Source organism: Homo sapiens, chromosome 7 (assembly GCF_000001405.40).
Source record: "Homo sapiens chromosome 7, GRCh38.p14 Primary Assembly".
Classification (NCBI taxonomy): Eukaryota; Metazoa; Chordata; class Mammalia; order Primates; family Hominidae; genus Homo; species Homo sapiens.
Window position 1 is genome coordinate 151,654,193 of NC_000007.14, and position 24,279 is coordinate 151,678,471.

Below are 24,279 nucleotides of genomic sequence, written 5' to 3' on the forward strand. Positions count from 1 at the left end.
TCTTCCATTTAACTTTGTCTTCAAAGAAACGTGTCTACAGGATGTCCCATGGTGAAGGATGAGGACGAGGCTTGCAGCAAGCCATCCCCTGGCCCGCCTTCTGTGCTGCAGTCTTCTTGCACCCCAGACACAATCACAGCATTGCTAGCTTCCCCTCCTTAACTCATATGGCTCACTGATGTTAGTCATTTCTATTTTTTCTCTATGCCTATCAAGACTACCTCTCACAAATGCACCTTGCCCCCAAACCCTTCCTCCCACTGTCCATATAGTTATGAATTCTTTTGCTATGTCAATATTCAAGGTTTCAACTTATTACGACTATGCAAATACTACTGATACCTGAGCCAAACCATATAGTGTACTATAGTTCACCTTCCTTTTTGTCATTTTTCTCCTGTGCTTTTACTATGCTCAGTCTGATATTGGAGAAAGTGCCAGAGACAGTAAAGGGAGACAAAGTAGAGGAGGAGGAGAAATGTCAAAGTAGCTCAGGATATGCTGGGTTTTTCTTTTTTGAGACAGAGTCTCGCTCTATGGCCCAGGCTGGGGTGCAGTGGTGTGATCTTGGCTTGCTGCAACCTCCATCTCCTGGATTCGAGCTGTTCTCATGCCCCAGCTTCCCAAGTAGCTGGGGCTACAGGCATGTGCCACCACGCCTGGCTAATTTTTGTATTTTTAGTAGCAACGGGGTTTTGCCATGTTGGCCAGGCTGGTCTCGAAATCCTGGCCTCAAGTAATCCACCCACCTTGGCCTCTCAAAGTGCTGGGATTACAGACATGAGCCACCATGCCCGGCTGGGATACGTTGTTGTTGAATTCACTCTTGAAAATGAAATATTCCCAAATTTAACCTGAGGAGAGGGACTCAAATGACAAGTATTACTCGGGAAATATGTGAACAAGTCATTATATTTTTATTTTTTTACTTGTTATTTCTTGGGTATTCTTTCAGAAAGAAACAGCAATAGTTTTGTATTCTTGAAGGACACCACATCAGAGAAATGAAAGGGTACGCCATCTCTGGACAGCCCTACACTGCCATTCAAAGGTATTTGGCCCAAAAGTACTCTGTGCGGCATTGCTTTTTCCATTTTCCTCTTCAAAATAGCCTATTAGATATGAGCTGATCGCTCCTAAGAATCGTGAGCCCTCCTTAATCTCTCTGCTGCTGGACCCTAACACAGCCCATGCAGAATCACCTGTGTGTGAAGTAGCACCCTGGGCAAGAAGCCCACAGCTGCTTGGTGGCTTGGCAGCCTCTCTAGGACTAAAACTCAGTTTCCAAGGGTAGTTTAGCAATGGTAAGGAGTATGGATTCTGGACATACTACCTGGGCTTAACCCTGGCTTGAGCAATTTATTAAATTGCTCCAGGACTGGCTACATAATTTGCCAGATCCAGAGCAAAAAGAAAATGAGAGGTCCCTTGTTCAAAAATTGGGAATTTCCAGACTATGACAATAGAGCATCAAATCAAGGATGGGACTCATCTAAACACAGGGCCCTGTGTGCTGTGAAACATCCATGAAGCTGCTCGTGCCTCAGTTTCCTCATCTGTAAAATGGGATCGTAGCAGCACCTACCTCATAGAGCGGTAAGGAATATGTGAGTTAATTACACAGACAGCACTTATAAGAGTGCCAGCACTTAGTAAGAGCTCAGTAAATTATTATCACACCCCACATAGCCTACACTTTGAGTCAGGCCATCTCAAACATACTACCCAAATCTGGTGAAAATTCATTTAGTTATTTCTCTGTGACATGGTAAAAGTCAAACAGGCAAACTTAATTTGTAAATTTCATTAACAGCAATACAGCTGTTTGAAACCCTGGAATTTTTATCAGTAAACAAAAACTCAGTCTAATTTTTTTAAACCTGAAACCTGAGTAGCACTATATTGTGCTTTATTGTAGTTAAGTTTTAAAAATTATAAGTACATATTCATTTATCATAGCCATTGATAACTATAAATTTGTTATCTAATGAATGAGTCACGAAAAACTGGAAATAACCAACAATTTTAAAAGGATGACAATACAAACTACGTTTCACGACAATAAGAAAACCCAGAATTTGGCCGGGCATGGTGGCTTATGCCTGTGATCCCAGCAATTTGGGAGGTTGAGGTTGGGCGAATCACCTGAGGTCAGGAGTTCAAGATGAGCCTGGCCAACATGGTGAAACCCCATCTCTACTAATAATACAAACATTAGCTGCACATGGTGGTGTGCACCTGTAATCCCAGCTACTCGGGAGGCTGAGGCAGAAGAATCGCTTGAATCCAGGAGGTGGAGGTTACAGTGAGCCAAGACTGCGCCATTGCCCTCAAGCCTGGGCAACAGAGCAAGACTGCATCTCAAAACAATAACAACAACAAACCCCAGGATTTATTCCATATGCAAATATCTTAATCCAACAATATATTTAGCTAAACATAAACCTTTGAAGGATTGAATCCATTTATTAGGATGCAGGTAGAGGGATGCCAATGTCTTAGGTAGCATGTGTAAATAAATAAAAAATGTGTTTTCTCTTTTGATGTTGTTGTTTCCTGATTTAAGAATGAAAGGTAACTTGATTGTATTGGATCAGTAGTTTGATTCAAGTAACATCGTGGAATTCAAAAGTGCAAAGGTAAAACCTCAAAAGCATATTTAGGCCAGGCTCGGTGGCTCACGCCTGTAATTCCAGCACTTTGGGAGGCCGAAGCAGGTGGATCACTTGAGGTCAGGAGTTCGAGACCAGCCTGGCCAACATGGTGAAACCCCATCTCTACTAAAAATACAAAAATTAGCTGGGCATGGTGGCAGGCGCCTGGAATCCCAGTTACTGGGGAGGCTGAGACAGGAGGATGGCTTGAACCTGGGAGGCGGAGGTTGCAATGAGCTGAGATTGTGCCACTGCACTCCAGCCTGGGCGACACAGTGAGACTCCATCTCAAAAAAAAAAAGGGGGGGTGGTTATTCATCAGCTGTTAACTGATTTTAATTAAGATTTTGAAGAATATTCTCAAAGTCAAATTGTGTGACCATAGTGTATATAAAATGAAGACAGCAAACATCGCCTATGGAAGAAGACATAGGTTGGGCTCAAAGCTTGCACCTTTCCTCTCTCGGTAGTTCTGGCTCTGAGTCCCAGCTATGCCACTGACTCACTGCTGGACTGTTCTGTGTGTCAGTCTCTAAGCCTCGTGCCAATGTCCACTGTGTGCCTGGTATAGGTCTTGGCTCAGGCTAGGTGGCAATAAATGCTGTTGTTGGTTTGGGAGTGGGGAGTGCCATTTGGTAAAATGAAAAGAACATGGATTCCAAAGGTAGGTCTCAATTTGAATCCTATCTCAATCATTTACTAGTCATACAATCTCCAGTAGATTTTATTTTTCTAAACCTTGGTTCTTAACTTGCAAAATAGAGATAATAATATCTTCTTTGCAGGACTGTTGTGAGAATGAACTGAACTTGTGTGTGGCTGGCCCATAACAGGCATCAACAAGTGGGTTTGAATCCAAGCCCCTACCTTCATAGTCTAGACACCAGGCAGAAGAGACTAACTGCTTTGGGCTGTGAGGATGAGACAAAAAAGCAGCTCCATCTACTTTGAGAAGTCAAATGTGTCAAATGCTTGTTTTTATTTGTAAAGTAAGACACATAAACAATATTGTGTTTAAAGAATGATGGAGGGCAGGTGCAGTGGCTCATGCCTGTAATCCCAGCACTTTGGGAGGCCAAGGCGGGTGGATCACTTGAGGTCAGGAGTTTGAGACCAGCCTGGCTAACACAGTGAAACCCCATCTCTACTAAAAATACAAAAATTAGCTGGGCATGGTGGCGCACGCATGTAGTCCCACCTACTCAGGAGGCTGAGGCAGGAGAATGGCGTGAACCCGGGAGGCGGAGATTGCAGTGAGCCGAGATTGCGCCACTGTACTCCAGCCTGGTGACAGAGCAAGAGTCCGTCTCATAAATAAATAAATAAATAAATAAATAAATAAATAAATAAGAATAATAGGGCTGGGTGCAGTGGCTCATGCATGTAATCCCAGCACTTTGGGAGGCTGAGGCGGGCGGATCATGAGGTCAGGAGTTTGAGAACAGCCTGACCAACATGGTGAAACCCCGTCTCTACTAAAAATACAAAATTAGCCAGGCGTGGTGGCGCGTGCCCGTAATCCCAGCTACTCAGGAGGCTGAGGCAGAAGAATCGCTTGAACCTGGGAGGCAAAGGTTGCAGTAAGCCAAGATCACGCCATTGCACTCCAGCCTGGGTGACAGAGCAAGATTGTCGCAAAAAAAAAAAAAAAAAAAGTATTTCACAGATCCCAGAGCACCTACAAAGTAAGAGTTGTTTTATGCATTTGCCAAATCCATTGAAAATTATTTTAAGACTGAAAATAACATTTTCAAAAATTATTTGCCACCAAATGTGCCTGATCTAATTCAGTATTGGGGTGCGAACACACGCCGAAACAGTACAAAAATAGGCTTATCCCAAGCACATTAATGAAGAACATGTTATAAGATGATTTTAAACTAATCTGCAGCTCTATCACTAAGCATCTAGCAGAACACATTATAAGCGTTCTATCAGGTTATTTCTGGTGTAGACAAACGAAAAGCCAGTTTCTATTATTTGACTGGTGCCCATTTGTATTAAAGGACTAAGATGGAAAAGAGGCAAAGAATTTCCTAATTACTGATGACAATGATCTGCTGAGTCAAGTCAGAATGTGATTCAGTAAGATTGGAGGGGAAGGGAATGCAATATAATGGATGGGTACAGTATTGCTGGTACTGTGTTGAGCTGCAGGAAGATTTTGCTGACTTTCTTGAGAAGTGAGGGGATCTGGTGCCTGAGCAATCAACCATGATTCATAGTAACTTGCTACAGTGCTGTTTGAACAGAAATAAAATTTGACCTTTTTCTATGCACCCAAGCCACTCAACAAAATATATTTGTAAATACAATTCCATCTTCTGACATTGGATCTAGGCGGTTTATTTAAAAAGCTGGGTCTTTATGATTTTGTTTTGCATAGACTTAAAAAAAATTTGTGTTTGTTTTATCCAGGCCATAGATTCCTGCTCTACTGCTCTTTTTGCCTCCTGCTTCTGTTTCTCAGAAAAATAGAAAATTGACTTTGCTTTGTTCAGGGGAGTCCATGGCATGTCCACCACTCCCATTTAAGTCAGGTTAACAGGGTAAATGCTGACGATGCACTGAGTCTACTGGTTCTAAAAGCCCTTTGTATTTGCTTTACCACCTTATAAAAAGGCATGGATCAGTATTTGTGTTGACCTTGAGGCTTTTCTTCTCACACCACGCAGATATCTTAACACAGGGGTTCACACATGGTGACCGGGCAGACAGATGCGTGTGAAACTAATGTGTAGACTAAATGCAATATACAGTTAATGCCTGGTGGGAAACAGAATTTTCCTTTAATTGCCCATTTGTAAGATTGAATAAGTAGGCAGGCAGAGTGTAAACACAGCCCCATCTATAGACGTGTGTCTTGGGAACAGAAAGGATCACACATTCTTAAGCTAAGACAAAGGCTTTAGTTTGAAGATAATGTCTTTGATTATTTCAGCATGGAGGGCTATAGATAGCCTCTTGGAGGCTCCGCTAGAAAAAATTCGGAATGGATTAAGTATATATTTTCCCACTAGCTGTGTCTGAACACATCACTCACGGCTCATGCGAAATTATTTCTCTGCCAGGCGTGGTAGTGCATGCCTGTAGTCCCAGCTACTCGGGAGGCCGAGGTGGGAGGACTGCTTGAGGCTGGGAGTTCGAGGTTACAGTGAGCTATGATCATGCCACTGTACTCCAGCCTGGGTGACAGAGTGAGACCCTGTCTCCAAAAAAAGTTATTTCCACAATTCATTCCTACATTCCGGAAAAGAATAAACCATATTAATACCACATCCCAATGCTAGTATTATTAGATCTGAGTAGTGAACACATAGACTGGTATTCAGAGATTCCCCAAATCAATCTTTAATTGTTAGACATAATAAAAGTGAAAGGGCAGATTCAAGTCCAGGAACGTGGACAGATCTTAAGAAGGAAAATCTCCTTTCTTTCAATCTCCCAGCTTCTCAAACCCGTAGCTGAGTCTTGAGCAGGCAAATGACTCAGAAACGTTTATGGTCTCCCTGGTACTAAAGTACTGTATACTTAGTTTCTTAAAAGAATCTGATTCATAGTGAGCCATTCTACTGAAATTGCACGATTTGTATCCAAATAGCAATACAACCTCTATCCAATGGCTTTTGGTATATAATAAATGCTCTCCAGGCTATATGTAACATTCGTTGTTTACTATATTAGAACCAGTAGTTTGCTTTATAATTTGAATTGTATAAAGCAATACTTATACTGTGTGTCTACTAGATTTTATGAAAATAAGACTTGAAAAGATGACATTCCTCCAACAATGAAACCATGTAAATTGAAGACAGGGACCTGATTATACTATTAAGTGAAAAGCTAAGTTGCTGAACAGTCTCTAGCAGGGTCTACATCTGTTATCTGTCCATTTCTGTATTTGTGTATAAAGGAACAACAAAAGTTAGACGAAAATGTGACACCGGAATTTATCCATTTGTCTCAAAGAGGCGGGATTCCAGGAAGTTTTAATTTTCTTTTTTATGTTTTTCCTTTTATAATCAGAGGAATGTCATTTTTAAAAGGTTTGAGTTGTGGTGTAATACACATAGCATAGTTTGCCATCTTAACCATTTTTCAGTAGACAGTCAGTAGCATTAAGCATGCTCACACTGTGGTGTAACCAATCTCCAGAACTTCTTCATCTTACAGGAATGTTGTTTTTAAAAGAGAGAACCAAATACTTCTCCAGATGTATGTGTTTTGAAAAATCAAATGCAAAGTAAGTAATGGCTTAATCAGACCGAACCACCATAATTGAATAGCCTGACCAATTCGTGAAAGAACTAGCCATGGGCCTTTCACTGTCTTTTTTTGTTTTTGTTTTTGTTTTTCTGAGACGGAGTCTTGCTCTGTCACCCAGGCTGGAGTGCAGTGGTGCAATCTTGGCTCACTGCAACTTCCGCCTCAAGCAATTCTCCTGCCTCAGCCTCCTGAATAGCTGGGACTACAGGCACAAGCCACCGCACCCGGCTAATTTTTATGTTTTTGGTAGAGACGGGATTTCACCATATTGGTCAGGCTGGTCTTGAACTCCTGACCTCATATGATCCAACCCCCCACCTTGGCCTCCCAAAGGGCTTTTGATTCAGCACATGAAGAGGAAATCACGGGCAGAGCTGTAGAAATCGTATTAGAATTTCATCTGTGTAGTTCCTTAGAAAGCTTTTCATTGAACCACCTGTTTCAATTTCCATTTTTTAAAAAAATAAAATATACCTCTGTCTGTAATCACGCTACGATGAGCAGCTGACATTCTTACTCAGGACTTAGAATAATAATGCTTTAGAGTCCTGCACGAAGCCTCCAAAAGAGTGGAAAAAATACACAACCCTTCGAAACAGGTTTACTCAAGCACGGTGAGAGAGGCTGGGCGGTCATTGATTAACAGGGTATGCGTTCCTTCTCAAAGAGATGGCAAAGGAAGCTTGTTCTAAACTTTTCCACCATTTCAATGGCTACTTTCTCCTGAGTCATTAAGGGAACACTGGTATTAGGTTTTGTGTCACAGTTGTACCAAGGATACCTCGCCAGCTAAAGTTAATGCTTTTCTAAGTGCTTATGAATTAGGGGACAGTCCCGGTTCTGAGCTGAAGGAATTCTCATCTAAATGCAAATCAAGACAAGCCTGTCTAGGATGCATAAATAGGTACAGTAATTTTTCCACCATTTAATGTTCAGCCCCCCAAATGCATTTTCACACAACTCTATTGGTAAAGAAGTATCCCTTATTAGAATTAAACGACATTTGCTTTCTTCCCCGCACCGGCTGTTACATAGGTAGAAAGTGTTCAGAGTCTTGATTTGGTTGACTTAAGGCATGGGAAATAAAATGGACAAAGAGAATCATTTTCCTAACCTCTGCTTCTCCACATCAGACTTCTAAATCCACGTCCGTGCCATTTCTATTTGATGTCCCAAAGGAATGAAAGAAAATGTGCCCCAGATGGAACTGAGGTTTCATCCCAGCTCTACTTCTCCGTCCAGTGTTTTTCTAATTTAATGACACTGTCATCCTTCCTTTCATGCCAGAAACTGGAGAGTCCCCCTAGAGTCCTCTTCCCACACGCCACATATCCAGGCTGCACTTTTATAATGAATTCCTTCCTCTGAATCTCCACTCCTGTGGCTGTAATTCAGCCTTTTGTCACCTCTCACTGGGCTACTGCAGCACTTTACTGGTTTTCTGGTTTAGTCTTTTCCGCATAAATTCCAGCCTCTAGCCTGTTACTAGAGTAATCATTCCATAAAATGCAAGTCTGTTGCTGGGCGTGGTGGCTCCCAGCACTTTGGGAGGCCAAGGAAGGAGGATGGCTTGAGCCCAGAAGTTCAAGACCAGCCTGGGCAACACAGGGAGAACCTATCTCTTCAACAACAGAAAAAAAATTAGTCGGGCATGGTGGTGTGTGCTGGTAATCCCAGCTACTTAGGAGGCTACTCAGGATAGCTTGAGCCCAGGAGTTTGAGGCTGCAGTGAGCTATGATCACACTCCAGCATGAGTGACAGAGGGAGAATCTATCTCTAAAAACAAACAAATACATAAAACACAAGTCTGGGCTTGGCACAGTGGCTCACACTTGTAATCCCTTTGGATTTGGGATTACTTTGGGAATCTTTGGGAGGCTGAGGTGGGTGGATCACCTGAGGTCAGGAGTTCAAGACCAGCCTGGCCAACATGGCAAAACGCTGGTCTCTTCCAAAATTTAAAAAACAAAACAAAACAAAAAAACGACACAAATCTGAACAAGTCCCTCCTCTGGAAATCATGGCAAGGGAGGGAAGGGCAAGTTTATGCTGTTTGTCTGTGCCACTTCAAATGTGCAGCCCTTCCTTACTCAAGGAGGTTAAGGGGAAGAACAAAGACCCTTCCACCTTCACTTTATGTTACTCCAAATCTCCTCAATCAGCCCAAAAGCAGAGTGTGTAATTCTATAACGCTCTGAAGGCAAGGAGTATAATCTTCAAGTCCTAACTCTGCTGGATTATTTACCACTTGGCCAACATTTTCTTTTTGTTTTTGTTTTTCAAACAGGGTCTCAGTCCTCTCGCCCAGGCAAAATCATGGCTCACTGCAGCCTCGACCTCCCAGGCTCAGATGATTCTCCCACCTCAGCCTCCCAAGTAGCTGGGACTACAGGCGTGCACCACCAGCCCAGCTAATTTTTTGTATTTTTAAGAGAGATGGGGTTTTGCCGTGTTGAGGCTGGTCTCGAACTCCTGGGCTCAAGTGATCTGCCCACCTCGGCCTCCTAGACCGCTGGGATTACAGGCGTAAGCCACCACGTCTGGCCCACTTTGCCAGCTTAGTGGCCAGTCTGATCCTCCTTAAGGGCAGGACAAATAACTAATTCCACTGCCCTCTCCAGTGGAATGCACTCCACGTCTTTAGTGAGGCAAAGCACTACTGTTTGTCCCTTGCCTTTCTGGGGATGAGACTCAATCTGCCCCTTTGCATTGGATGTTCCAACAAGCAACTGGCTAGCAGTATAAAGGGAAGCTCTGGCACAGATTAGTCACAGATTGGCAAACTTTCTGAAAAAAGCCCAGATAGAAATATTTCGGCTTTGTGAGCCATATAGTCTCTGTTGCAGCAACTCACTCTGCTGTTGCAGCATGAAAACGGCAAGGACAATAAATAAATGAATGCACGTAGCTGTGTGCCAATAAAACTTTAATCACAAAACCAGGTGGTGGGCCAGACTTGACCCATGAGACACCATGTGCCAAACCCCTAATCAGGTATATGAGCTAAGATGCTGCGTCAACCTTGGATCAGCTGAGAATCTCGGATCTCTCCAGAGGTGACGGACAACCATGCTGAGAACACGGATTCTGGAGCCCAGCTGCCTTGGTTCAAATCTTGGCTTTAGCGTTTGCTAGCCATTGAGCCTTTGGGGGAGTAACTTTACACAATTTTATCTCATTTGAGCCTCACAGCAACCCTGTGAGATAAATCCGATATTCCCATTTAACAGAGGCCCGGGTACAGTGGGATCCAAGGTGCAGGAACTTCCCATTAGCACAGGGACATGCCGAGTCACTCTCATCTTTTAAAAGAGGTGCCCTCCCTGCCTGGGTCCCCCTCCTCCTCCAGCCAAGCCCTCACTCACATCTCCTCTTCACACCAAGCTTCTTGATAAAGCTGTCCACATCCTCCACCCTTACTTTGTCATCTCACACTCACTTTGCAACCCTCTGCAACTGGCTTCTGTCCCTGGCTTTGAAATTGGTGACAGTTTTATCATGATGGTTTCTTAGACAAGAAATACACATATTTAAGGTCTACTGCATACCTAGGTGATGTCCTTTATTGACATTGCCAGCCCAAGTTAGGGAAAAAGATAATCACGGTGCACTCTGCCTCCCAATAGAGGTGCTATATGTAGGTTACCTGTGATTCACTCTAGTGAACATCTCAACTCTACAACACCAATATTTGAGCCCTGGCCTCACCCAGGTGAAGGCAGGGTTGCCTCTCTAGGATGGAAAAATTCAATATGAACCCTAAAGTGGCCATCGTCATGGTTAAGGGATGCAGATTTTATCTTGAGAACTCTATCAACCAAGAGAGCAAAATAATACACTACTGGACATTTCCATTTTTCACCCTACACTTGCATCCCTGTGACCAAAATGATGCTAATCCAAGGCCATGCAATCTGTGCATCTGTAGGAGTAGGTATTTCATCTGTTAGTTTTGCTGCCCCGTGAGTGAAGAGGCAGGATGCACCCTTCAATGGCTTTAGCTCCAGAGTTCTGCTTCTACAGGATGCACCCCCTTTTTGCTGGGGAGACTCTCAAAGAGAGGAATGATCTCAACTGTCTCTGAGTGCTCAGTGCCTAGGACAGTGCCAAGCAGATAGGAAATGACCACTGAACAAGTGAGTCCCCTCATGGGTCCCTGGGGAGACGACAGAGGCAGGGAGTTTATCACATTAAAAAGATCCAACAGCTTTTCTTTGGAGCTCAGCTACCCTGGGGAACAGAATGAGTAAGAATCCCAAAGACCCCGGCCACTGCTCAGAAAAAAGGGCCACGCTCCCAGTCGTGTGTGTCTCTCTCTCTGCCTTCTTTCTGTTCATTGAGTCATGATTCCAACAGTGCAGGAACATAGGAAGAATGCCAATTATAATATTTTTTTGACAGCTGGGAGAATAGACACACTCTGCCTGTCTCTTCAGCACACAGGCAGCACTTGTCTAAGCGCCAGCTCTCGTGATAACCAATCCCGCTGAGAATCAGTTCTCTCTGTAGCTCCTACTCCTTGACCCAATGTGAAATTTTTCCAAACTATTTTTAAAGTATCTAATCTGTTGTGAGTCACAGACTATAGAGCTGCTAGTTTACCATTTCTGGGCAGACAGCTTTAACATCAAGACCTGATGAGGTTGTAAGGGTATTTAAAATGGCAGTCAGGAATATAAGAGCAAAGTGGTGCATATAAAGTCTTTAACTGTTCCTTAATGTCAAGCGATTTGAGATATTTATAGATTTTTTAAGTGCCTTTCTATCTTTGAAAGAAAAGGTAATTATTTCACATAACAACCTTGAAAGACTGGTCAGTGATCTTCTCCCAGATTTTCATAATAGGAGAACTAGGGGTCTTGGAGACTGACTGAATGGCAAAAGACAGTCCATTTTTAAAAACAACCCAAAGCTCTTGAGTTTATTATCCATGGCTCAATTCACTGAGCTATGCTACCTCCCCTCACACCGGATGAAACAAGTATTAGTTATCTACTGATCCATAACAAATCACCAAAAACTCAGTGGCTTCAGACAACAATAATTTATTATCTGTTATGGACTGAATTTATGTGTTATGTGTTTCCCCAAAATTCATATGCTGGATCCCTAACCTCCAATGTGACTGTATTTGCAGACAGAGCCTTTAAAGAGGTAATTAAGTGAGGCCATAGGGTAGGCCCTAGTCCAATAGGACTTGTGTCCTTAAAAGAAGGAGAGGAGCTGCCAAGGATGAAAGCACAGTGATGCCTCTGTAAGCCAAGGAGAGAGGCCTCAGGAGAAACTGAACCTGCCAACACCTTGATCTTGGACTTCCAGCCTCCAGAACCGTGACACATCAACTTCTGTTGTTTAAGCTGCCCAGTCTGTGGTATTCTGTTATGATAGTCCCAGCAAACTAATATAGTATCTCTTATGGTTTCCGTGGGTCAGGAATTCATGACCAGTTCAGTTGGACAATCCTGGTTCATGGTCTTTTATGAGGTCTCTCAGTTGGGTATAGCTGGGGCTGCCTAATCTGAAGGCTTGACTGGGGCTGGATGATCCACTTCCATGGTATGCCCTCCCATGGCTGGCAAGCTAGTGATGGCTGTTGGCAAGGGGCCGTAGTTCCTCCCTGCCTGGGCCTAATGAAACTTCTTCATTCAGTCCTAACCAACCATCCTGCAGCCTTCCCTTTAGTTTAGTTATATATTAAATATATAATAAGAAGAAATAGGACAGCCCTTATTTTCTCCTGTCAGGATTTTGGTACCATAAATTTAAAAATGAAGGGGAGAAAAATCCCATGTATTTTCCATGGTGCACTACCCAGATCCCCTTTCAGAAATGAAGGGTATTTTCCCAGCTGTTGAGAACCCTGCCAACTGACAACCTTCAACTATTAGCCGGGATTGCCCTTGGCTAAAGAGAGCTGCCTTGCCCAAGGTCAGCTCCCTGCCCAGGACAGCTGTCGTCTACTGACTGGCTGGTGTCAGAGTATAAAGGCCTAGTTTCTTTGCACCAACCTGGGATAACTCTGATGAGCCGCCCCAGCTTAGTCCTCCCTGTGGGTTAGCTGAGGCCTTTGTTGAGACTGCATTGCATCACAACTTCACCCTCTGCCCAATCTTCCTGCCTTCCCTTCTCCCACAGGTGTCAATCCTCAGAGCACTTCATGATAAACATCCTGCACACCAATCTCTTCTTAGAGTTTGTATCTGAGGGGATGCAAACCGCAACAATCTACTTTACAGGAAGATTATTCTCAGAGCTGTCAACCATCTAAAAATAGCCAAATGAACCTCCAGATTCTATCTAGTACATCATGTGTTCAACTGCAGACCTAGCTGTTGAAACCAAGTGATAAGGTAGATTGTCTTGGTAGAGATAGAGGTGTGCCTAATCCTCCACTTCTTCCTGTATCCACTCCCTCTGTAATGTGACTGCCACTTCTGCTTCATTTTGTTGGCCAAAGCAAATCATAAGGCCAACCCAGATCTGGGGAGGAGGAAACAGATTCTACCTTGGATAGGAGGAACTACCGTGTGCCTGTTCTGAGCCTAGGCCTCAAGGGACCTTGCATATACTTCTGTCTCTCTTGGAACCCTGTCACAGGCATTTGAACGAGCTGGGGCTAGCCTGCTGGAAAAGAGACCATGTGGAATTGAGACAAGTTAGCTGTTCCTGCCGAGGTCACTCTGGTCCAGCCAGTCCCCAAGTAACCTGGTAGGTGACCAAAGATGTAGTATGAATAAGCACAGTCAAGACCAGAAGAATGCCCACCCAAATTGCTGACCCACAGAATTGTGAGTTAAGTAAATGGTGGTTATGTTAAGTTTTGGGGAGGTTATTGCTATGCAGCAATAGAAAAACTGATGTAGTATCAGCTATGGTTTGGATGTGGTTTGTTCCTGTCAAAACCCATGTTGCAATTTGATCCCCCAATGTGGCAGTGTTGAGAGGTGGGGCCTAGTGGGAGGTGTTTGGGCCATGGGGGCAGGTCCCTCATGAATAGATTAATACCCTACTGCAGGGGTATCTCACAGGAATGGATTAGTTCCCTTGAGAGCAGGTTGTTAAAAAGTGCCTGTCTTCCTCAGTTTCTCTCTCTTGCCAGGTGATCTCTTTGCACATGTCTGCTCCCTTTCTGCTTTCCATGAGTGGAAGAGGCATGAGGCCTTCATCAGATGCAGCTGCTCCATCTTGAGCTTTCCAGCCTCCAGAATCATGAATCAATTAAACCTCTTCTCTTTATAAACTACCCAGCCTCAGGTATATTGTTACAGCAACATTAAACAGACAAGACTCAAATCTGCTGGATACATGAATCAGCTGGCAAAAGAAGAGCATAGAGAATTCAGACTATAGAATATGTCCTCGATTCATTTTAATGGGCTCTGGTGCACCCAGCTGCTGCAGAAGCTGCTACCGATGGCTCACACCTGCAACCTTTTTAGCAGGATCGTTCTTGGGTGATCAAAGCCATCTCAGCTGGAGGTGCATCTCCCTTGTCCTGGGACATCCTATAACTAAAGCCTGTCTTGTGTGAGGGCACAAAATCCAGCTGTCTTGCCTCAAGGTAGGGCAAATTCTGGGGCAATTTACAGCACCAATCTCCTCTGCTGTCACAGGCTGAGAGTGGATCTCATCTGCAACCACATCTTTGCTCAGCTTCTTCTTCCTTTCTCTCACCCTCTTACAGGTTCCTTCCGAGAGCACTCCCTTAATAAACAAACAAACTTGCTCCTGAAACCCCAGCTCAGGCTCTGCTTCCAATAAATCAAAAGTGAATTCCTAGGAGAAAAAGATGGGGAGCATGGGAGTGACTGCTGTGGAAGGAAATTGGAAAAGCGCTGATCATCCTAACACCTTTGCAGTAGAAGTTTTCAAACCAATAGAAGATGACTCTCCTCCCATTGGTCCAAGACAAACGTCTCCATCGCAAGTGCTTGATGTGCTCCCACTGCCTATAAGGAAACGCACTCCTTTCCTTTGTAAGACGGGAATGACACTTTCTTTTCTCTCCAATCTTTAATTTCTCCCTGCACTCACTCTTTCCCCAGTAGGGTTTGAGTCTATTCCTCTTTGTAGGAAGATGCCATCACCTCCATTCTTCTAGCTACAGCCCCTGTCCTCTCTCTCACATCAGGATACTTGAGCTATCTACACTAGAGATCACCACTTCTTTATCCCTTAATCATCAACTCACATTACATGGCTTCTGCTGTCGACCCTGCCACTAAAAGTATCCTTGCCGAAGTCACAACGACCTTATGTTACACAACTAGTTGGCTGCATTTGATGTCACTCAACACTCTTAGTATGTGAAACACGATTACACACATTCCCTTTGCTCCTGTGATGCTGTGTTCACTTGGATTTCTGCCTCATTTCCAGGGAATTCAGAATCCGTTTTTTTCGATTGTCCCTTAGATGTCCACGTGTTTTCTGGTTCTCTTTTCACCTGCCATACATTTCTATGAATTATTTCACCTACTATTATAGCACCAATTGCCACTTATATCTGAATGATTTTCAAATTGAAGTTCCAGCTCCAGACTCAATATCCACTTGCCCTTTGGGCACCTCGACTTAAATGTGCCACAGGCGCCTTATTGGACTACCACCACCTACACACACACCTGTGCACACACCTGCATGCACACACACCTGTGCACACACTTGCACGCACACACCTGTGCACACACTTGCACACACACACACCTGTGCACCTGCAGGCACACACCTGTGCACACACCTGCATGCATACATACTTGCACACACAGTTGCATGCACACACACCTGCATGCACATACCTGCATGCACACACACCTGTGCACACACTTGCATGTACAACTTGTCACACACCTGCACACACCTGTGCACACACACTTGCATGCATACACACCTGTGCACACACCTGCATGCACACACACCTGCATGCACACACACCTGTGCACATACCCGCATGCACACTCACCTGCATGCACACATACCTGCATGCACATACACCTGCATGCACACACACTTGCATGCACACACACCTGTGCACACACCTGCATGCATGCCCACATACACCCACACACATGCACTCACATATACACCCTGCCCTCTTCCTCCTCTGCTCCATACCCCCAGAGCTGGAACTATCATCCATCCACTTTTCCATGGCAAAACCTTTGGAATCACCCCTGATTTGTCTCCTTCCCCTTCAATTAATCAACCACTACCTTCCAAATTCCTTTCAATTTTACCTTCAAAATTGCCCTCTACTTTTAAACACGATTCCATTTCTTTCTACCTTCAGCTGCAACCTGGGCCTAGATTACTTCACACTGCATCTCGTCTGGGCTCCTGTTCTAACCACCTCCAATCTAATTTCCATAACCAGTTAGGGGATCACCCTAAAATGCACAGCTGATTATTGCTTTTCCCTGTTGAAAAGAATTTCGACTTCCTCTGGGATCAGCTCTTCCACTCATCAAGATAGGATGGGGTTTCCTCCCACAATAACGGAACGGGTTCTATCACACTCCATTGTAATGAATTACCTGTCTGTTCTTCCCAAAGAAACAAAAGCTCCTTCCTTTGTTCAATTAGTAGATATTCACTGACACCTTCCTATGCATAATGCACGGAGCTGTTAATCAAATGGTAAATAAAACAAACATTGGCCTTTTCCCATTAGCAGGGCTCACATATTTGTCATCCTATTACCCATGCTAGCAGTTTTAGGCACATAAGTTGCTTAATAGGTATTTGCTGAATAAATACATGATAAAATGAGTGCTGTTGGCCGCGCGTGGTTGGCTCACGCCTATAATCCCAGCACTTTGGGAGGCCAAGGTGGGCGGATTCACCTGAGGTCAAGAGTTCAAGACCAGCCTGGCCAACATGGCAAAACCCCGTCTCTACTAAAAATATAAAAATTAGCTGGGTGTGGTGGTGCATGCCTGTAGCCCCAGCTACTTGAGAGGCCGAGGCAGGAGAATTGCTTGAACCCAGAAGGCAGAGGTTGCAGTGAGCTGAGATCGCGGCAAGGCACTCCAGCCTGGGTGACAGAGCTAGACTGTCTCAAAAAAAAAAAAAAAAAAAAAAAAAAAGGAGTGCTGTCTTCTAAAGACTAATTTTCTCCATTCCATTCCCTATTTTAGAATAAAATTCATGGGAACAGATTTTATAAAAATGATCTTCATGGTCGATGTTTACAGAAAGTATCTTTTTATTACAAAAGGCAGAGATAAATTACATCCAAATATTTTCAGACCATCAAAAGTCTTTAAGTAACTCACATTCCTCCACAGAGATTATCCTGGTAGCCAAATTAACAGAATCAGCCAAGCACATAAGGAACTTAGCACATAAAGATACTCAATAAAATCCAATTATAAAGGAGCAAATTTCTACGAACTTGAAACTACCACCCACCCTGCTGCCAGAATGTAATGATATGTTCTCTGCATGCCAAACATATCTTCTCCCAAAAGATAACAACTGTTTTGGGTTGAATAGCGTCCTCTGAAAAGAGGTTGAGGTTCTAAGCCCTGGTACCTGTGACTGCAACCTTATTTGGAAGCAGAGTCTTTGCTGAGTAATCAGGTTAACCTGCTGCCAGGATGCTGAAAGCAGAAAGGGCTTGAGCCAAACCTTGGCCACAGAGGCTGTGAATGACGCAGGTGAAGGCAGCCCTTGCTGGCCTGAGGGCTGAAACTTACAAGTGGGGTGAGGGGCTTGCTTACCATCAGGTAACCAATGGGGACATTCTCTTCCATTCCTTGAAATACACCCTTTCAAAATGTAAGTGGGGAGCCTTGGGCCATCAGCCTGATTTTCAGAAGCTCAAATGACATAAAAATTGGAGTCTTGACCAGATCATTCCTCTTTTTGGTTTATGGTGATAAATATACATAAAAGTTACCATTTGAACTTTTTTTTTTTTTTTTGAGATGGAGTTTCACTCTTGTTGCCCTGGGATTACAGGCGTGAGCCACCTCTCCCGGCCACCATTTGAACTATTTTTTTTTGAGAAGGAGTCTCGCTCTGTCGCCCAGGCTGGAGTGCAGTGGCGCCATCTCGGCTCACTGCAAGCTCTGCCTCCTGCGTTCAAGCGATTCCCCTGCCTCAGCCTCCCAAGTAGCTGGGATTACAGGTGTCTGCCATCACGCCCGGGTAATTTTTTGTATTTTTAGGAGAGACGGGGCTTCACCGTATTAGCCAGGATGGTCTCGATCTCTCGTGATCCACCCACTTCGGCCTCCCAAAGTGCTGGGATTACAGGCGTGAGCCACTGCGCCCAGCCACCATTCGAACGATTTTCAAGTGTACAGTTCAGTTGCAGCAAGTACATTCATACTGTTGTTCAGCCATCACCACCATTCATTGCCCCAACTCTTTCACTTTTCCAAACTGAAACTCTGTCTCCGTCAAACACTAACTCATCTTTTCCCCTCCCCCCAGCCCCCGGTACCCACCATTCTACATTCCGTCTCTATTTGGATGACTCTAGGGACTCCTATAAGTGGCATTATGCAGTATGCGTCCTTTTGTGACTGGCTTATTTCACTCAGCACAAGGTCCTCAGGGCCCCTCCGTGTCACTCCCTGCGTCGGAACTTCCTCTCTTTTTAAGGCTGGGTACTATTCCATCATCTGTATACACCACATTTGTTTATCCATTCACGACATTTGGATTGTTGTTGAAATCCCACTCGACTGCACACTCCTGCTGCCAGCCGCGTGCTGGGCACAGGGCACGTGCTCTGGGTCAGCTGCTGAGTATGGGACACAGCTGAGCATACTCACTCTCTCTCTGACCCCAGGACACTCCCTCTCTGATCACCGTGGCAAGCCTGGAAGGACCTATACTTGTTGGCCTTGACCAAGGGCTGCGTGGTTGTGTGGGGTATAAACAGTTGGGTTATAAGGAGATAAGAACACCACTTTCCTGTTACACTCGCGGGGAGGAAGCTGACAGCAAACCCAGAGCACTCCCTGTATTCTCTTTTCTTTCAACTGGGAAGGCTCTGGGCTTGTCCCCAGCACAAAGCTGCTGCCGTCAAACATCAGGGACTCGTGGAAGAGCCCTGCGTCTGTGTCTGTCACTATCCCTTCAAATGATCTCAAATAAATCGTGGTTTTCTCGTCAAACCACTGTCTCTTCTTAAATGGGGTTATTCTAATCCATGATCCCTAGTCAAAGCCTAATTTTCTTTTCTAGAAGGTTCTCCCTTCCCTCTCCCTTAATGTAAACACTGACAGTACTCCAGGCTCAGCCCAGCAGGTGACGTGCCTTGAAGCTGTCATTGCCCTTATCAGACCAGCGGTTTTCCGTTTCTCCCTCCTGTAGGGCCGACTGTGCCACTCATTATCCCGGCGAAACCGCTCTCCCCCTTTACTGAGCTGTTTTGCCCCAGTACTGTTCAGTTCCCAATCAGATTGTAAGCTCTAGAAGGCAGGAACAATAACTTGCAGTTTAACCTTTGGCACCTGAAATAATACTTTGCTACACCTGTGTTTAATAAAATAACTGAATGAACAAGAATAGGAATAGTATGTTCTCAGCATGGCAACGCATCTTCTCCTAAAAGATAACAACTGTTACAGATTGGACCGTATCTCCTAAAAAGAGATGTTGAAGTTCTAAGTCCCAGTACCTGTGAATGTGACTTTTGGAAATAGGGTCTTTGTAGATATAATCAGGTTAAGATGATAGGGGTGGGCCCTCATCCAATGTAGCTTGTGTTCTTTTTTTTTTTTTTTTTTTTTTGAGACAGTGTCTCGCTCTGTCACCCAGGCCGGAGTGCAGTGGTGCAATCTCGGCTCACTGCAACCTCTGCCTCTGGGTTCCCACGGTTCTCATGCCTCAGTCTCCTGACTAGTTGGGATTACAGGTGCCCACCACCACGCCAAGATAATTTTTTGTATTTTTAGTAAAGACAGGGTTTCACCATGCTGGCCAGGCTGGTCTGGAACTCCTGGCCTCAAGTGATCCACCCACCTTGGCCTTCCAAAGTGCTGGGTTTACAGGCATGAGCCACCGCACCTGGCCTTGTATTCTTATAAGAAGGAAATTGGGATGCAAAGAAAGACAAAGGGAAGATGGCTATGTGAGAACGGGACAGAGACTGGAGTAACACTGTCACAAGCTGAAGCTGGAGAAGGCAAGGAAGAACTCTCCCTAGAGGCTTTGAAGAGAGTGTAGCCCTGCCAACACCTTGACTTTGGACTTTTGGCCTCCAGAACAGTGAGACAGTACATTTCTATTGTTTTAAGCCATCCAGTGTGTGGCACTATGTCATGCCCCAGTGACATGCGACACTAATGTGACAACTGAATGGAGTGGTTCCAGCCATACAGGTAGACCCAGGGATGTGGCTCTCACAGTGTCGCTGGGCACGGGAATAATACTGGGTACCTGCGGTAATTAAACCAGCAGTGACAGCTGGGGTCTCAGTAGGGCCCACTGTGTTGAAACAGAGAGTGCTTAAGTGCTTAGTGAAGCCACGGAGATTCGCTGCCTCGGTCTCAGGAAGTGCTGGAGGCTGCACACGTCTGTCGCTCCATCCCACTCCTCTATGAAATGCTCCCCTTCCAAAGAGGGCATCCTAAGTCTGATGATGTCATCAGACTCAAAATCTTAAACCTCTAGAATAACACTTCTGTTTTACTTTTTTTTTTTGCTTTACCTATGACATTTTATGAATACTGTAGTATCCCAAGCAAGGTAAATTCAAATAAAGCTTTCAATGAATGATTTTTAAGAAGCTGAGGGGAAAAAAACCTCCTCCTGGTCATGTCCCAGATGTTACCATTTTTCATTTTGTTTCTTTTTTTCTTTTTTTTTTCAGACAGAGTCTGCTCTGTTACATAGGGGCTGGAGTGCGGTGTCATGATCTCAGCTCACTGCAGTGTCTGCCATCTAGGTTTAAGCAATTCTTATGCCTCAGCCTCCCGAGTAGTTGGGATACAGGTGCACGCCACCACACCCAGCTAATTTTTGCAGTTTTGGTAGAGACAGGGTTTTGCCATGTTGGCCAGGCTGGTCTCGAACTCCTGGCCTCAAGTGATCTGCCTATCTTGGCCTCCCAAAGTGCTGGGACTACAGGTGTGAGCCACCGCACCCAGCTATTTTTTGTGTATTTCCATTTGCTATTGTGCCCTCACCATTTCTCCCTCAGCCTGTGATTTATGGTACAATATCCTGAAGATGTCGGGAGCACACGACCTCAGCCTCGGCTGCAGATAGACTGCTCAGCTTGGGGCAATAACTGCTCTGCCCTCCCTCTGCCACCCGGCAGCCCCACCCACAGAAGGGCCCAGACTTACGGCTTTGGAGGGAGCATAGTGTGTCGGTGATGCCAGTGGAGGCCTGGTCGGGCTCTGGAAGGAAGACGGGCAGAACCTCTGCCCTGTGTCCGGGGGGGAAGACGAGGCATAGATGCGATTCTCTAACCGTTCAGGCTCGTGCTTATAGGATTCCAGGGGAAACGTGTGCTGCTTGGTCACTTGGGTGGGTGTTGACGGAGAGGAGGAGAGGCCGGAGGCTGCAGAAGAAACACCAAGGACGGTCAGAGGTCCGGCTTCCAGGAAGGGACGTCGGGGGTGGTCAGAGGTCTGGTCTCCAGGAAGGGAGATGGGGAGAGGTCAGAGGTCCGGCCTCCAGGAAGGGACGTCGGGGGCAGTCAGAGGTCCGGCCTCCAGGAAGGGACATTGGAGGTGGTCAGAGGTCCCGCCATGGCAGAGGGAGGCTCTCACCATTCCTGGTGCCCAAAACCTCAAATGGCAAGAAGCCAAATTATTCTGAATGTTGAGGAAAAGCTTTAAAAACCAATTTCTAGTCTCTTAGAATCAGCTGTTTCCAGAAACGCCTCACTATCCACGCTCGGTTGTGGGCAGCATCCCCTCATTGGGAACGGGGTGCTCACACGGTCCCGAGTTATCTGGTGAACTTTTACACACACCCTCCAGAGGCTATTTTCCTCCATTCAGCCAAATATCATTTGATCTCCTCTCCTTCTTTCCCCAGCATGGCGCCAAGAGCAAACGCAGTGGTGCCTTATTTATTGAGGTAAAACATGGGGAAGTTCGGAAAATGTGCAGCAGAGATGCAGGCCAATGCTGCAGAAGCCATGGGACCATGTATCTGAGGAGGGGGAGGGGGAGGGGACGGGAGGGGAGGGGAGGGGAGGGGATGGATGTGTTATTCCTACCAAAACGTGCAACATGAACATCACCACTGTAAGTTCCCAGTAGCAAGACTTCACTGCGAAGATAAATACCCAAGGAGACTTCAGGGAAAGGGTGGGACTGGAATGGGGTCTAAAAAGTGAAACAGATTTAGATGGTCAGGAAAAGGGAGGGGGCAAATAATGGGAGGGGCAACGGTGTTAGTGGAGGATTGTAGGAAGACTGGAGACATGAATCTTCTGGGAGTTAAAGGTTCTCCACTTTGACTTATTTCTAACTAACAGAAACAACTCTATTTCTTCCATAGACTTATTTATGTAATTTTTAAGTGGCGAGTGTACACCTAATTCATTACCATGGTGCTTTTGAAAGCAGAGCTGGAGATGCAGAGGCTCGTCAAGAAGAGGTTAAATAAATCATGGCACAGTGCACAGGTAGGATGTGACCTGTGAATGTGACCTTATTTGGAAACAGGGTCTTTTCAGATCAACCAAGTCTAGATGAGATTTTGCTGGACTAGGGTGGGCCCTAATGCAATGTGACTGGTGTCCTTATAAGAAGAGGAAAAGAGACACAGAAACGGATACCCAGAGGGAAGGCCTCGTGCTGGCAGAGGCAGCGATCGGAGCAATGCAGCTGCAGCCAAGGCGCGATGGGGATTGCTGGCAAACCCAGAAGCCAGGGCGAGGCAAAGAGGAATCCTCCCCTACAGGTTTCAGAGAGAGCGTGGCGCTGCCAACACCTCGATTTTGAACTTCTGGCCTTCAGGACAGGGCTAAATTTTAGTTGTTTTAAGCCACTCAGTCGGTGGCACTTTGTTATAACAGCCTGAGGAGACTGATGCAATGCATGGATTGTGTTCTAAGAGAAGCAGAATCTGGCTTTGGGTCTGATATCTCAAATCTCTTTTTCTTTTTTTTTTGAGACAGAGTTTTCACTCTTGTCGCCCAGGCTGCAGTGCTGTGGTGTGATCTCAGCTCACTGCAACCTCTGCCTCCCGGGTTCAAGCGATTCTCCTGCCTTAGCATCCTGAGTAGCTGGGATTACAGGCACCTGCCACCAGGCCTGGCTAATCTTTTAAAAATATTTTTAGTAGACATGGGGTTTCACCATGTTGGGCAAGCTGCTTTCGAACTCCTGACCTCAAGTGATCTGCCTGCCCCGGCCTCCCAAAGTGCTGGGATTGCAGGCATGAGCCATCACACTCACCCTCTGATATCTTACATCTTACAGGTAGAAAAATAAAATTTTAAAATAAAATTTGAATTATGCAAGTCAAACCAAAGATGTCAGTGAACATGCCCTGTTAAATTACATGTAGCCTAGAGCTGCCTCCTTAAATATTTTAAGTTTGGCCTAAAGGGTTTTCTGTACATTGTGAACTGTAACAGACCATAGCCTACATTCGTGCCAGCCAGAGTTTTGGCAATCACATGTAGCCAACTGTTCCAACCGTGTTCAAGTAAGACAAATGCTGAGCTGTAACCAATCCAGGTGTTTCTGTGCCTTACTTCCGCTTTCTGTGGTCACTTTCCTTTTTCTGTCCATCAATCTTCTTCCACCACATGGCTGAGAGCTGGGCTCTCGGAGTCTACTCTGGCTCAGAAGGCTGCTCGATTTGCGAATCGTTCATTGCTCAGTCAAACTCCTTTAAACATAATTCGGCAGACGTTTTCCTTTTATCAGGTCCTAGAGCCACCAGTCACTGTTTCTGGTCTGGACAAGGCTGCGTCACCTACAGAGCCACAGGCCTGGTTCACTCTCCCCAGGCATCTCTGCTGGGTTCCTCCTCCTCGCAGCTCCCAGAACCACCCGTGTCCCTCCTGCTCCATCCTCATGGGGAAGGACCTGTCCTCCTGTCCCTCGTGTCACCAAACTCATAAAGCCTTTTCACTGTCCTGTATGTTACCACTTAATGACAAACTGTTTAACGTTCAAACCAAACATAAAAGTATGTAAGTCCCCTCTCCCCACCAAGATCTACCGTCTGTCTTGGGGACGGGGGTCCTGCCACTCCCTCTGGGCCCCAGGGCACCCAGTGCTGTCCTGAGCCAAGGGGTCTGGCAAATGCCTGCTGCCACCAGGCAAGGAACAGAAAGAACAGTGAGAGGACCGGCTCAAGGTCAGGGTGAATCTGTTCCTCTCTGTGGAGAGTGGGGCGCATGTTTTGTTTTGTGTGTCCGGGGGAGGT

The 24,279-nt window shown here is 45.3% G+C and overlaps 1 protein-coding gene across 24 annotated transcripts in view; it reads right to left on the reverse strand.

Moving 5' to 3' along the window:
• PRKAG2 (protein kinase AMP-activated non-catalytic subunit gamma 2) overlaps positions 1-24,279 on the reverse strand; it is a 320,989-nt gene that overhangs the window by 98,066 nt on the left and 198,644 nt on the right. For 18 of the 24 annotated variants that reach the window (NM_001407023.1, NM_001407022.1, NM_016203.4 and 15 more), the window contains one exon: positions 21,228-21,445. The exons of 5 other annotated variants lie outside the window; for them this stretch is intronic. In NM_001407023.1, the coding sequence (NP_001393952.1) occupies positions 21,228-21,445 (218 nt within the window). Of the gene's footprint in view, positions 1-21,227; positions 21,446-24,279 lie in introns of those variants that run through there. One more of the 24 variants, XM_047420450.1, reaches the window with a different exon arrangement.